The sequence below is a fragment of the Homo sapiens genome, chromosome 12 (assembly GCF_000001405.40).
Source record: "Homo sapiens chromosome 12, GRCh38.p14 Primary Assembly".
Classification (NCBI taxonomy): Eukaryota; Metazoa; Chordata; class Mammalia; order Primates; family Hominidae; genus Homo; species Homo sapiens.
In genome coordinates, this window is record NC_000012.12 from 127,304,165 (window position 1) to 127,317,717 (window position 13,553).

Here is a 13,553-nt window from a genome sequence, read left to right on the forward strand (position 1 = left end):
AACAGAGTACATTTATTTCTTAATCAAGGGTTGACATAAGCACAAGGTCTGCGTGTTTGGAAGATGCTGGGCCTGTTTACCCTCTTTTATCAGTCGGGGTGGAACTCATACCTCACCCCCTACCCCCACCACCACCTACCACCTTCTGGCGCCCAGTTCAGCTCAGAGGGTCCCTCCATAATTGGGGTCGTTTGGAGTGAGAATAATGGATATAATCACCAGCAGGGGTTTCTCATCTGGATACTGGTCTTGATCTATAACAGTAATACAGCTTCAGTCAACTTCCAAGCTGGCTGCACTGCTGTGTGGCTTTACACCAGTGGCTTCACCTCTTTGAACTTCCATTGCCTCCTTTACAAATGGCCATGATAAAACCAGCTTGTAGGTCATTGTCACAATAACCTATAAAGTTTGCAAATCACTGATGCCTGGCACAATGACTGGTAGGTAGAGGTGGTTGAGAACCAATAACTGGAACGTATGGGGATCATATGGGTAGCAGTCCATCAGTATGTGTTTTCTCTGTGCAGATCTTATCCTGAGCTCATGAACTACTGTGGGACCATTTACCATTCAGAATAGAAAGAGAACTGAGCCAGGAGTCTGGGCACATGGATTCTCATCTCCAGTCCATCCTCCTGTGTGCCAGGTGCATTTAGGTGCCGGGGACACAGCAGTGACTGAGATGGGCATCTACACTCATGAAGCTGACTCTCCAGAAGAGACACTGAGAATAAAGCAGGAAGCATCTATAGCAGGAAGTGGAATGGCTCATCAAACAAGTGCCCTGGAGAAGCTTAGACTGGGGAGGGAGATGAGGAGGGCTGGTGGTGCAAGACACTGCAGTAAGGAGGTGAGCAATGACCTCCAGGTTGTGAGGAAGGAGCCAGGCACCACCTCCAGGAGGTGGGGGAAGGGCCAGGCACCACCTCCAGGAGGTGAGGGAGGAGCCATGTACTATCTCTAGGAGGTGAGGGAGGAGCCATGTGCTATCTCTAGGAGGTGAGGGAGGAGCCATGAGCTATCTCCTGGAGGTGAATGAGGGAGCCATGTGCTATCTCCTGGAGGTGAATGAGGTAGCCATGTGCTATCTCCTGGATGTGAGGGAGGAGCCAGGCACTACCTCTGGCAGGTGAGGGAGGGAACAATGCACCATCTTCAGGGCTAAAGAGGGAGCCAGGCACCGCCTCCGGGAGGTGAGGGAGGGAGCCAGGCACTGCCTCCAGGAGGTGAGGAGGAACAAGTGAGGTCAGGGCAGGGAGGAGGGAGGATGATGGCTGTCCTTGTCAGTCTTGGTGAGGATGTTGTCTTTACTCTGAATGAGATGGGAGCTGTGGAGGGTTAGGAGCAGACATGATGTGACTTCGGTTTTCACAGACTCATTTCTGCTACGTTGAGAACAGACTGAGGGGTAACGGAGGAGGAAAGGAGACCCAGTGCTACATCACCGTCTGATGTTAAAGTTGAGGACTTGACATTCTCTGAACCTGTTTCCTCTTCAGCAACATTGAGTGAACCTGTCCCACGTACACCCTAAAACTGATTAAGGATCACACACTCTATTGTATAAGCCAGTCCTTCCCATCAAGTTTATGCTGCCAGGATTCAAGCCCTGGTGCTGCCACATGACAGCCGGTGCCCTTGGACCAATTATGTGGACGCTCTGTGCCTCAGTTTCCCCATGTGTAAGATGTGGATACTAATACTTTCAACACATGTAGTTACTGTTAAGATTAAATGATACAATTGATATAAAGTGCTTAGAACAAAGAGTTTGTGGTAAGTTCTATATTACTATGAGTGATCACACCCACCAGCCATTACTATAGAATAAACACCTCCCAGATCTCAGTGGCTTACAAAAATATTGATTGATTGATTGCTCATTTTACTTGAGGCTGTGGGTCTCCTGCAGCTCGGCTGGACTCTCCTATGCTCAACTGTGCTGGGTTCAGCTCAGCTCCGTGAGGCTTCTCTTTCCAGAATCCAGGCTGAAGCCACCATCGCTGGCACCTGCAGCTTTCCTGGTGAAAGACACTCCAGGCCGTGGCAGGTGAGAATCCCCAGGTGTGTCTTCTAACACCTCCACTTGTAATCAGCCCATTGTTACTTTGACCTTCATTCTATTGGTCAATGAATGACCACATCCAAAGTCCATGGGGCAGAGGTGCGTTTGCTGACAGCTGTGGAAGACAGAAAATAATCCACCACAGGGCGACCATCAAACTCTATCATCATCCTCTTCGTCTCCTCCTTATTTCCCAAGGGAGGGCACTCTATTAACCCCCGAGGCAGAGTGGATGATGTATAGTAAACATCACTGCCATCGAGGTTATAGGCAAAGGTGCTGCACAAATGGCAAGGAAGGCAATGGCTACCCACATTTTTTTAAGTTGAGGAAAGACAGACATTAAGTCCATGGATGCAGGTGAACCCACTGTGGCTAAAACCAGTTTGTGCATAGAGACAAGGATATGTCTACTGTAATATTTATCTTCCCCAATGTACAAAATTACCCTAAGGGAGAAGAAAAAGAGTATTTCATAATCTAATCTGCAGAATTCTGACATTAAATTTAATAGGAGGCAATAAAATGCATTTGTGGTTTGCTCAGTGTCGACATAGTGTGTTCAATACCTAGAATTAATGAGATTGTGCACTTCCTAAGTGTTTGCATGCCAGTTTTCTGAGGGTAATAACTACATTTTCCATCTCAGAAACTGCTGTGTAAGTGACTGATACTGCCCTTGCTTCAAAGGAAAACAGATTGTTCTGGTTATTTTTGTTGGTTTGATTTTTAATTAATGGTGACCCTGGTGTATTGTTATTGGTCCATTTGAACACGTTATTACTCACAAGGAACTGACTCGGAGGAGTTGCCCGTTGCCACACTTATAACAAGGGGAACAGTCAGGGGAAAGAATGATAGGAATTGTGTTGTTCACAGACTATGCCAGGACAAAAAATGAGGAGATTGACTCACTTTACAAAATAGAGGAGTTCTCCAAAGCAGTGCATTGGGGAAATTGTCAAAATGGACTTCATTTTCTGGCCGATACCACTTTGCCTTTCAAGCTGTTTTATTTTCATTTCTACTTCGTTTTCAGTGGTGGAGACACCTGATAAATCAACTTAAAGTTTCTCTTCTCCCTGGCCTTTAAGAAGCTAGTTTGGCACAATCAAATCTCCATAAAGAAATAGTCTGTAAGATGGTGAAATAGTCTGTAAGATGAGACACTTTGCAATGTGTTACCTCCACTTTCCAATCTACTCTACCATATATAACTCTTCAGAGTTTGAGGAATAACTTGGTGCACATAGGGTTTAGGAGAGTGGGCTGCATGGCATTTGGCTGCCTGGGCTCAAATCCCAGCAGTCACCTGCCGTGGTGTGGCCTCTGCCAGTTTGTTTTAATGTTTAAGGCTCAATTTCCTCAACTGCAAAATGAAGAAGAAAATAAGATTTAACATACCAGGAAGAATTAAATTAAGGCACTGCCTTGCAGCTCTTATTATGATAATTTAATGTACATATTCCAAATGGTTTTCTTTCTTCAGATGTTCAGACAAGTCTAGAAATATGCACAAACGTGTGGCACGATGATACCGCCAGCATGGTGTGTGAAATGGAAGGACGTACTTGGCCTCAACATCCAGAGCACGGATGCTATGGATCTCCAGCATATGATAAGATGGGCATACCAGTGATTCAACAAATGCATGTCAAATGTAATTATTTAGAAAAATTTGCATAACCAGGTGATAACCTTCAGCCTAGAGAGGTCAGTGATGTTCTCGTGGGCCGCAGATCCTTTTTAGAATTCAGTGGAAGATTCAGAGCTACTAATCAGGGAGCCATGCTATACTTCTCAGCATGGGAAGCTTCTCAGCTGAACTTCAGAAGACGAGTAGACCCTCTGAAACTCCTCTGAATAATGCCCTAGGGCTCCCAGACTTTATGTTAAGAGTTCCTGTCCATTTCTCTTCTCCCAATACCATAGCTGCTCAACAAATAGGTTTACTCAGAAAATCAGTCCAGTGAGTGCTCTTGGGTTCTCACCCAGATCCCATTTTGGGTCTCTGGACCCATCCACTGCTGATGTCCACAGTGCAGCCAACAGGGTACAGCCTTGTCCGGCCATTGAGGAATGCTCCTGCCATCCCCAGCCACCCCTCTTAGAAATGCCATGGAGATTACACTATCCCTCAGGAGTAGCCTGAAGGCAACAGTTGCCCAGTGCTAGGATGCAGAAGCTGGAGCCCTCACCTGAGATGAGACCACTCTGGAGGAATTCACACTCTGGAGGTATTCACACTCTGGAAGCATTCACATTCTGGAGGCATTCACAGTTTGGAAGCACTCACACTCTGGAGGCATTCACACTCTGGAGGCATTCACACTCTGGAGGCATTCACTCTCTGGAGGCATTTACTCTCTGGAGGCATTCACACTCTGGAGGCACTCACACTCTGGAGGCACTCACACTCTGGAAACACTCACATTCTGGAGGCATTCACAGTCTGGAAGCACTCACACTCTGGAGGTATTCACACTCTGGAGGCATTCATACTCTGGAGGTATTCACACTCTGGAGGCATTCATACTCTGGAGGCATTCACACTCTGGAGGCATTCATACTCTGGAGGTATTCACACTCTGGAAGCATTCACACTCTGAAGCTCCCATGGGATCAGCTTCAGCTGGGCTTCAGCCAGGCCGACGTCTTTGTCCTGCTTCTCTCCCAGGCTCCATCAGTCCCTTCCGCATCTCTTCCCTTTTTGCATCACTCACATGTCTTCTGAGAAACCCCAACCCTCAGTAAATCATCTACCCCATCTCAGGCTCTGCTTTAAGGAAACCTGACCATCCACTGTTTCTTTAAGAAACTAACACAGGCAACAGGGATCCACTCAGCAAACAGTCTGAAGGCCCACTATGTGTGGGGCACTCTTCCAGGCACAATGCCTGTGAACCCACTGACCACAGGCTAGTGGGAGGAATTCAATAAATACACCCATATCTACTATGAAATCAGCTGGCCACGGCCCCATGGAGAAAATTAACTCAGGGTAAAAACTGGAGCTGAAGGGAAGTGGGTGGTCCTTTAGACAGAGCGTCAGGGAAGGTTTCCTTGGAAGAGACACTGAAGCAAAGGCTAAAACAGACTGAAAGGGGGTCTGGGGGAATGTCTAGGGAAGAGCCTTCTGAGTAACGCTGAGGGGGAGGATTATTAATGTCCCCAGGCAAATGCTGCAAATCACACTGCCATTATGTTATTGCCTTTAGTATCTACTTTGAGGGTTGGAGCAGAACAACACACCTGTGCCAGGTGTACAGCACAGTGCCAGACCCCCACAGGTGGTCAGTCGTGATGCTCTACTGTTTATAGTCTTGCCAGTGAAATCACCTTCAGCAGCCAGGACACACTCTCACTGTGACTCCTGCTTAGAGGTCAAATGCCATCATGGTCATAATAAGTCCCCACACTGTCATGGGATGATTCCTCTGCCAAACGTTCGGTGATTTTCAGTTAAAAAGATGCTCCCTTTTTATTGAATTGCTCTTCCCAAGTTGAATATCCAGGCCAGAGATGTCACTGTTCTCCAGGGGGAGTGCAGAGGTACTGGGGCCTGTTATGGGAGATTTACTGATGGTCAAAGACACACTTGCCCATTGGGAAACATCAAACCAGTAGAGAAGGAAGGGAAACAGACATTGACTTTCTGAGAAAACCCAGGTTGTATTGAAGAATATTCCTCAGATGATTGTTTATAATAAGAGATAATGACTTGGTAATGAAATATGTGACAACTGTGATCACGGAAGAGGGAGATCTTTTGTGGTTAGCAGAAGCCTGAGGCCCCCATCCAATCAATACTTAGGAAGTATCATTAACATTCAGGAGCAGAGGGTGCCCTTTAATATGCAACAAATTCTGTTTTAGTAAGAAATCTCCAGCTCCCCAGGATTGTTAAGAAATTATTGGAGAAATTCTTCCAGTATGATTTGGTCAAAGGCTTAAAGACAAAGGACCTCAAATTACAGAGAAAAGGATGAGACCCACTCTTTCTCTATAGCACTCAGCACCCTGGGCCCTCGACCCTATAGCACAGGCTGGTATCTTGCGGGCTGCCTTTCACTGGCCCTAAGGAGGAAGACACGCTCTGAAGCTTGTTCTATGTTGTAGGACATGTTAAAAGCCCAGATATGTTAGAGTTGCTGGGACGGCAATAATGGTGACATTTTACACTAATTCGAACTTGGCATGTGAGCTGGCTGCTGCAGGATGATTTACTGCACCAGGGCAACTGAGATGCAGTGGGTCCCATGCACATTTCCAGAGGTGCCCAGAAGAAACTGCCACCAACAGGGAAAATGAAATGAGAGGGCTGAGTACCAGGAGACCTGTGCTCATCAGTGCCAGCTATGTGCTCCTCATCAGTCTACAGTGGTTACAGGAACAGAAAATGCTTATACTAAGTGGGAATCCACAAGGATAAAAGAGATCCTAACATGATGATGATGGGCACCCTCTCTAAGGAAGCGTTTGTAAGGGAAGTAACCGCATCACGTGCGAGTTCCCACACTTGCCCTAGGTGTTACTTCCTTTGTTGAGTCAGACTTAGTTTCAGAGCAACTGAGAACAAAGAAGAAGCTCATTTCAGTTCTAACCTTATAAATAAAATTAGTAAATTGAGATTTAACTCTCAAACTGGCACATGCTCTTTGGCCCAAAAAACTAAAAGAAAGTGTCAGTTTAAGAAATGATTTAGTTTATCCCAAAGAAATACAATCTGTTCAAATGGGTGGGAACGCCAGCATCACATGGACCCCCACTTCCGAAGCAGCATCTATCTCTGAAGGTGATTTATTTGAATGGAGAGCATAGATTAATAAAAAAATGATTTTTTATATCTCATCTCTACCTTTTTATACTTTTTATATCTCATCTCTACCTTAAAATAAAATAAAAAATGCTTTATATTAAAAAACTGTTTCCAAACAACAGTTAAAGCCAAAAAACGTATATATTGACGGCATCTCATACTGCATGAATATTACCCAGTTTTGTCTATTGATAACATTATTGATTTCATCCATTGAGAGAGCATTTTCCCTAATGGACTTTGATCATTATTTCCCATGTGAAAAGTGATAGGCAAAGAATAGTCTATCAACACTGAAACCAGTTAAAGTGTTTTCTTCTCTTTCTACATTGCTCGTAAAAATCTAAAAGCAAATTCCAAAAATCTGGTATGACCTATGTAAATTATATAAAACAGTAAAAAAATCAGGAGGTACTAAGAATTTCAATGTACAAATACATTTTCAATGTTGTGTTTGCATTTACGCAAAACTCATCTAAGAGATTCATTCTTTTCATCTTATTTCAAACTTTCCTTTTTTCCTTCTTCTTTGAAACTGGTTTTACTAAACTGTACATATGCACGCTGAGATCTGGGGAGAGCCCGCTGACTTCTGTAGCTCAATTCTCCCATGTTCCCGGGGAAAAGAGGAGGAGGAAGCTGTTAGTGAAAAACAGTTACCCAAAGTGCGAGAAGTAATTCTGATGGGGCTGGGTTTGTGCACCTGGGAGTGCATTTTTGGCTCTTTTGCTGCCAACAGTTTAGTGGCAGGAAAGCCTGCTACTCCACAGCCTCGATTTCACAAAGCCAACTCCTGTGTTTTTATCCAGTTAATTAAATGATATTTGTAAGGCCTGGAAAAAAGTGCAGGCTCGGCATGAGGCATTTATTATGATAAGTCAAGTTAGTGCCAAAGAGGCATCTCTATTCATCCTGAAAGCAAGGAGTGACATTTGCTAAGATGCCAAATGTGATGCTGGCAGTTTCAAGAAATACACTCACACCCCAACAGTGAGCCTCTAGGGACTTGGCAAATGCACGGCCCAACTTTCAGCTGAAACATCTACATCAGCTTCCCAAACAGAATCCCCACCTGTCCTGTGGTTTCCTTATGTCTCCAGAGCTCTGCCTCTTCTGAGAACCTCAGCACCCCGGGCCCTTGACCCCGTACAAAGCCCCTGTTCCAAATACATACACATAACCAAGCCATTGACAAGCAAGACCAAAGGGTGGACAGAGGTCAAAGGCTCTCAAACTCCTGCAGCATCATGCATTTCAGCACTGACTTTCAACACCATTTGACCCTGGATGGAGCTGTAAGAAACAGAAGCCCTTTTTCTGAGGCATCTGGAAAGAAATTTTCCCCAGCCTGCTAGGAGAAAAGATGAAAGGTTTTTAAGCAGTATAGTTGTTTGTCATTGTTAATGAACATTTCCTTTTTGTAATATTTTAATTACCGCAAATTTTGCATGAAGGATTTAAAAAAATCTGGATGAATTGTAAAATATACAAATAGTTATGTATGTGTCTTTCCATGTGTGTATATATGTGTGTGTGTATGTGTATCTATGTGTGTATGTACATGGATATATGTACAGTTTGACTGTGTACGAGCTGCCAGGGTTCAGAACACGATACTGCAAAATATGGCACCTTGAGAATTGAGAAAGCTGCAGAAACAAGAGGGTCATTCAGACCATCCCTCACTTGGGTATGCAAAAGCTGGCCATAAAGGAATTTTCTGACCAACATCACCTGAAAGTAGTTCATAAGGCCCTCATGTGACAGGTGTCCTGGCCCATTTGCTGGTGTCCATTCCTGGAGGGAAGAGAGGATACACAGACCTAGAAGAATTGAACGCAAAGTCCTTACTAAGTTTCCCATTGATTGTCATTAGGCCACGCTCCCTTTTTGTCTAGTCATACTTCTACAGGGCCGCGCAGTTTTCCTGGGTCCTCAGCTCTTCATCTGAAGGCTCTTGTAACATGTAAAACTTTGATTAAATAAATGAATATGCTTTTCTCTTGCTAATCTATCTTTTATTACAGGGTTGTTAGCTGTGACCCTTGTGAAGGGTGAGGAAATTATACTACTTTCTCTCTCCTACGGTAAAATGCTGAAATTCAAAAGGGGATATTTGGGGGTAAAATAATTAGACAACTGAAAATTTCAATATTTATTTCCATGCTAAAAATAATGTTACCAATGCTTAAAAGATAAATTTATTCTGGAAAATGGGGTCACTTTATTTCTGAAGTAATGTTCAGCAAAAGGAGAAGAAAATTTGAAAGCCATGTGGAGAAAGATCACTATGACCCTGGTGGTCCCATCAACATTCCTAACATGGGTACTTTCTAGGACAAAATTCTTATGTCACATATTTCACAATATTATTACTCAATGTTTCATCCCCCATTGGCTTAAATATTTTAGAGGGAGATATCTGAATATTTAAATGTTTCAGCTTTGCTCTGCTTTGTGCACATGTACCCTAAAACTTAAAGTATAATAATAATAAAATTTTTAAAAAATGCACTTAAGCTACATGTTGACTTAACTTACAACACAAGCCCCAGTTTTTCCATGCATTTCCTATAGCACACTAGCACAAATCTGCAATGGATATTTTAGCATAGCCTTTTCACCATTCATTTAAAGTTGTCCCTTACAGAAGAACAAAAGATAGGTGTTACATTTTACAGCTATGGTTTTAATGGAAAATATAATTTCTGAGTTTATAAAGCATTTGTCATATCAATTTGAAGCCTGAAATAGAGAACTGAAAATACGTTATAGCATGATTTGGCTGGATAAAAACAGTTGTCCAGGCTGGGCACCCTGGCTCACATCTGTAATCCTAGCACTTTGGGAGGCCTACGTGGGAGGATCACTGGAGCCCAGCAGTTCGAGATCAGCCTGGCAACATGGAAAAATCCCACCTCTACAAAAAATACAAAAAATTAGCTGGGCATGGTGGCACGCACCTGTAGTCCCAGCTATTCAGGAGGCTGAAGTGGGAGGATCGCTGGAACCCAGGAAGTTGAGGCTGCAATAAGCCATGATAGTGCCACTGCACTCCAGCCTGGGTGACAGGAACCTGCTTCAAAACAAACAAGCAAACAAACAAATAAAAAATTTCCAGTTTTGTGTAAGGTTCAGATAAAACAGCCCTTTGTGGTTGTTGCTATTGGCCTGGATAGTTCTCTGATGGATAGAGACTTTACTGTGATCCCAATATCCCAACATTAGGAAGGTAATTTTCTAAAAGAGGTAAAAAAGAATATCGAGCAAAATGCACAAAAGCAGACTTTTAAAAATAAGATTTGTCAAGCTTAAGAACACTTAACTGTACTCCAGCCAAAATCAGAAAATGCTTTGCTTTTTTTTCCCAAGTATCCACAGAATATTCATCAAGGTAGACCACATCTTGCTCCATGAAAATAGTCTAAACAAATTTTTAAAAGCTGGAATGAGAGAGGAGAGAAATCAATAACAGAATGACAGCAGGGAAATTTTCAAATATTTGGGAATTTAATAACACACATAATAATCCATGGGTCAAAAACGGAGTCAATGGAAATTTAAAAATGCATATATCTAAATGAAAATGAAAACCCACGTATCACAATATAGGAGATTCAGGTAATGCAGTTCCGAGAGGAAAATGTATAGCACAAAATATTCACATTAAAAATGAAGAAAGGTCTCAAATCAGTAACTTAAGTTCCTACCTCAAGAACCTAGAAAGAGATCAAAATGCACTCAAAGCAAGAAGGAAGGAAATAATGAAGTGCAGAAATCAATTAAATTGAAAATAGAAAAACAACAGGGAAGTCCATTGAGACAAAGAGCTGGTTCTTTTAAAAAACCAAAAGTTAGTAAACTTCTAACACGACTGACAAAAAAAGAGACAAATGCAAATCACCAATAATAGAAATAAAATAGGGAATATCACTACAAAGTCTGCAGCCACTAAGAAGATATTAAAGGAATGTCATAAAGAGGTTTAAATTCATAAACTTAACAACTTACAAGAAATTAATCACCTTCTGATAAAACTACCAAACCTCACTCAATCTGAATAGCTCTGTATCCATTAAAGTAATTGGATTTATAATTATAAGCCTTCTGACAAAGACAGTTTCAGGCTCTGATAGTTTCATTAAATAATTCTATCAACATTTAGAGGTAAGTTGATATGAATTATATACAATCTTTACCAGAAATTAGAAGAAGGAACACTTCCCAACTAATTTCTGAGATTGGTGTTACCCTGATATCAAAACCACACAATGGTACCAGAAAAGAACTTAAATGCAAAAATCCTCCAAAAAATATTAGCATACTGAATCCAGCTGCATAGGAATACAATTATATTTTATGACCAAAAAGGAATTTACTCCAGATCTGCAAGATAGTTCAACATTCAAATTCAATTAATGTAATCCACCATAGCAACATGCTAGTAGTATAGTAAGAAATCATACAACCCTACTGATGGACTCAGAAAAAGCGTCTGACAAAATCCAACATCCATCCATTTAAAAATACATACATATATACATTGGCAAGTTAGTAATAGTGGGAAATTACTTCCAGTTTTATATAAAACCATCTACAAAAAATCCTACAGCTAGCATCGTACTTAATGATGAAACACTTAATGCTTTCCTCCTTCAATCATAAATACAGCAAGGATTTATACCTTTATCAGTCTTATTCAACATAATGCTGGAGGCTCTAGACACTGAAACAAGGCAAGAAACAATAAAATTCATACATATTGCAAAGGAGGAAGTACTCTATTTGTAGATAACATGATTTCTATGTATTTAAAAAAAGAAATCATTTTTTAAAAAGTGCCTATCACCAATAAGTGAGTGAGTTACTGTGGCTGCAGGATACAAGATTAACACACAGAAATCACTTTTATTTCTATGTACTAACAAGAAGCATGAAGAAATCTAACTTAAAAATACAATATCTTTTAAAATCACTCCAAAGAAAGAAAAGTACTTAGGCAAAAAATTAACAAAATAGGTACAGGATCTGTATGTTGAAAAATACCAAATATTCGTTAAAGAAATAAAATACATAAATAAGTAGAGAAACTTTTCTGTTCATGGATTGGAAGACTCAACATAGTAAAGATTGCATTCCAGAGAATTATGTTGAGTGAAAAAACCCAGTGCCAAAAGGTTACATACTGTATGATTTTACTTATGTAATGCTATTGTTTATTGCTTATATAATGTATTTACTTATATATCATATATAAGTAAATTACTTACATAGCATATTTTACTTATATAACATTATTGAAATGGCAAAATTTTAGATATGTAGATTAGTGGTTCCCATGGGCCATGAACAGGGGAAATGGGAATGTTTGTGTGGTTATAAGATGGAGTATGAAGGATGCCTGTAATGCTGGGACTGTTTCTTATCTCCACTGTGCTGTTGGATACCTAAACCTACAAAGGCAATAACACTGTATAGAACTTAAATGAGTTCAAGAAAAATTGGGGAAACCTGAATAAGATTTGCAAGTTGCATCAGTATCATTATCTTGGATGAGATATTTACTAAAAGTTTTATATGATGTTACCATTGGGAAAACATATGGGAGGGATGTCTCAGAATTATTTCTTAAAATTGCATGTAGAGCTATAATTATCTTAAGAAAATTTCAATTAAAAATGCTTACTGTCTAAGTGTAAAAATAAGACAAAAAAATCAATTTTTCTCCTTGCATTGATGCTTTCTATTTTTCACACTTTCCGGTTAGATTTTAAGGATACTTATATTCTGGGAATTTAACTTCGCCAGTGTGCAATACAAAAGAGCTACCAAATCGATTTTTCCTTTTCTTGGTATGCATAGTGTTTTCTAGGGTTTGCTAGGTATCGTCTTCTGGAAGTTTCTTCCAGTTTCCTTCTTGCTTTCTCTCAAAGGCAACCCACCTGTGTGCTTAAGCGCCAGTTCTTTGTTGTGCCAGCTGCTTCTTAATTCCTGTTCTCTGGCCTCTAATACAGCAACTCTTGACCCTGGAGATGGTGGTTGGCCATTTTCATTTTTTCCAGGTCATGTGGTTTTCATTTAGCCTCTGAGCTTCCCTCTGAGTGGCCATGGAATTCAAGCCAGGTGCCCTCTCAAGAGGCTTGCTGGTGCTTCTCTCAGGGGGAGTTTAAACTTTCCATTCCTGTGGGAAGGGAAGGGCTTTTATACACATTTTTTTGGCTCAGGTTATTTATCAAGATTGATAATTTGGATATCTCAGTCATAAAATGGCAGAAAATCCAGGCAGATGCATGACACCCAGAAAACTGGACTTCAAGACTTATTAATTTATATTTTCCCACCATTTTGGTTTAGATATTATGGACATAGTACCTAATGGTTTTACATTGACTAGCCAAAAGGAGGTGATATAATCCATGATATATAATAGGCAGAAAATATTTAGAACTGAAAAATATTCGGTATAATCCTATTATGCTCAAGAACATCCATACCAACCAAATCTGAGAACATTTGACAGTCACTGTTGATCTCACTAACTAGTTTATTATCCAGCTCTTCAGTATTCACACACAGCTACACATGCACACACAAACACACACATATATATATATGTTTATGTGTATGTGTTGTATGGTAAAAGCATCTCTGCACCCCCACACAGAA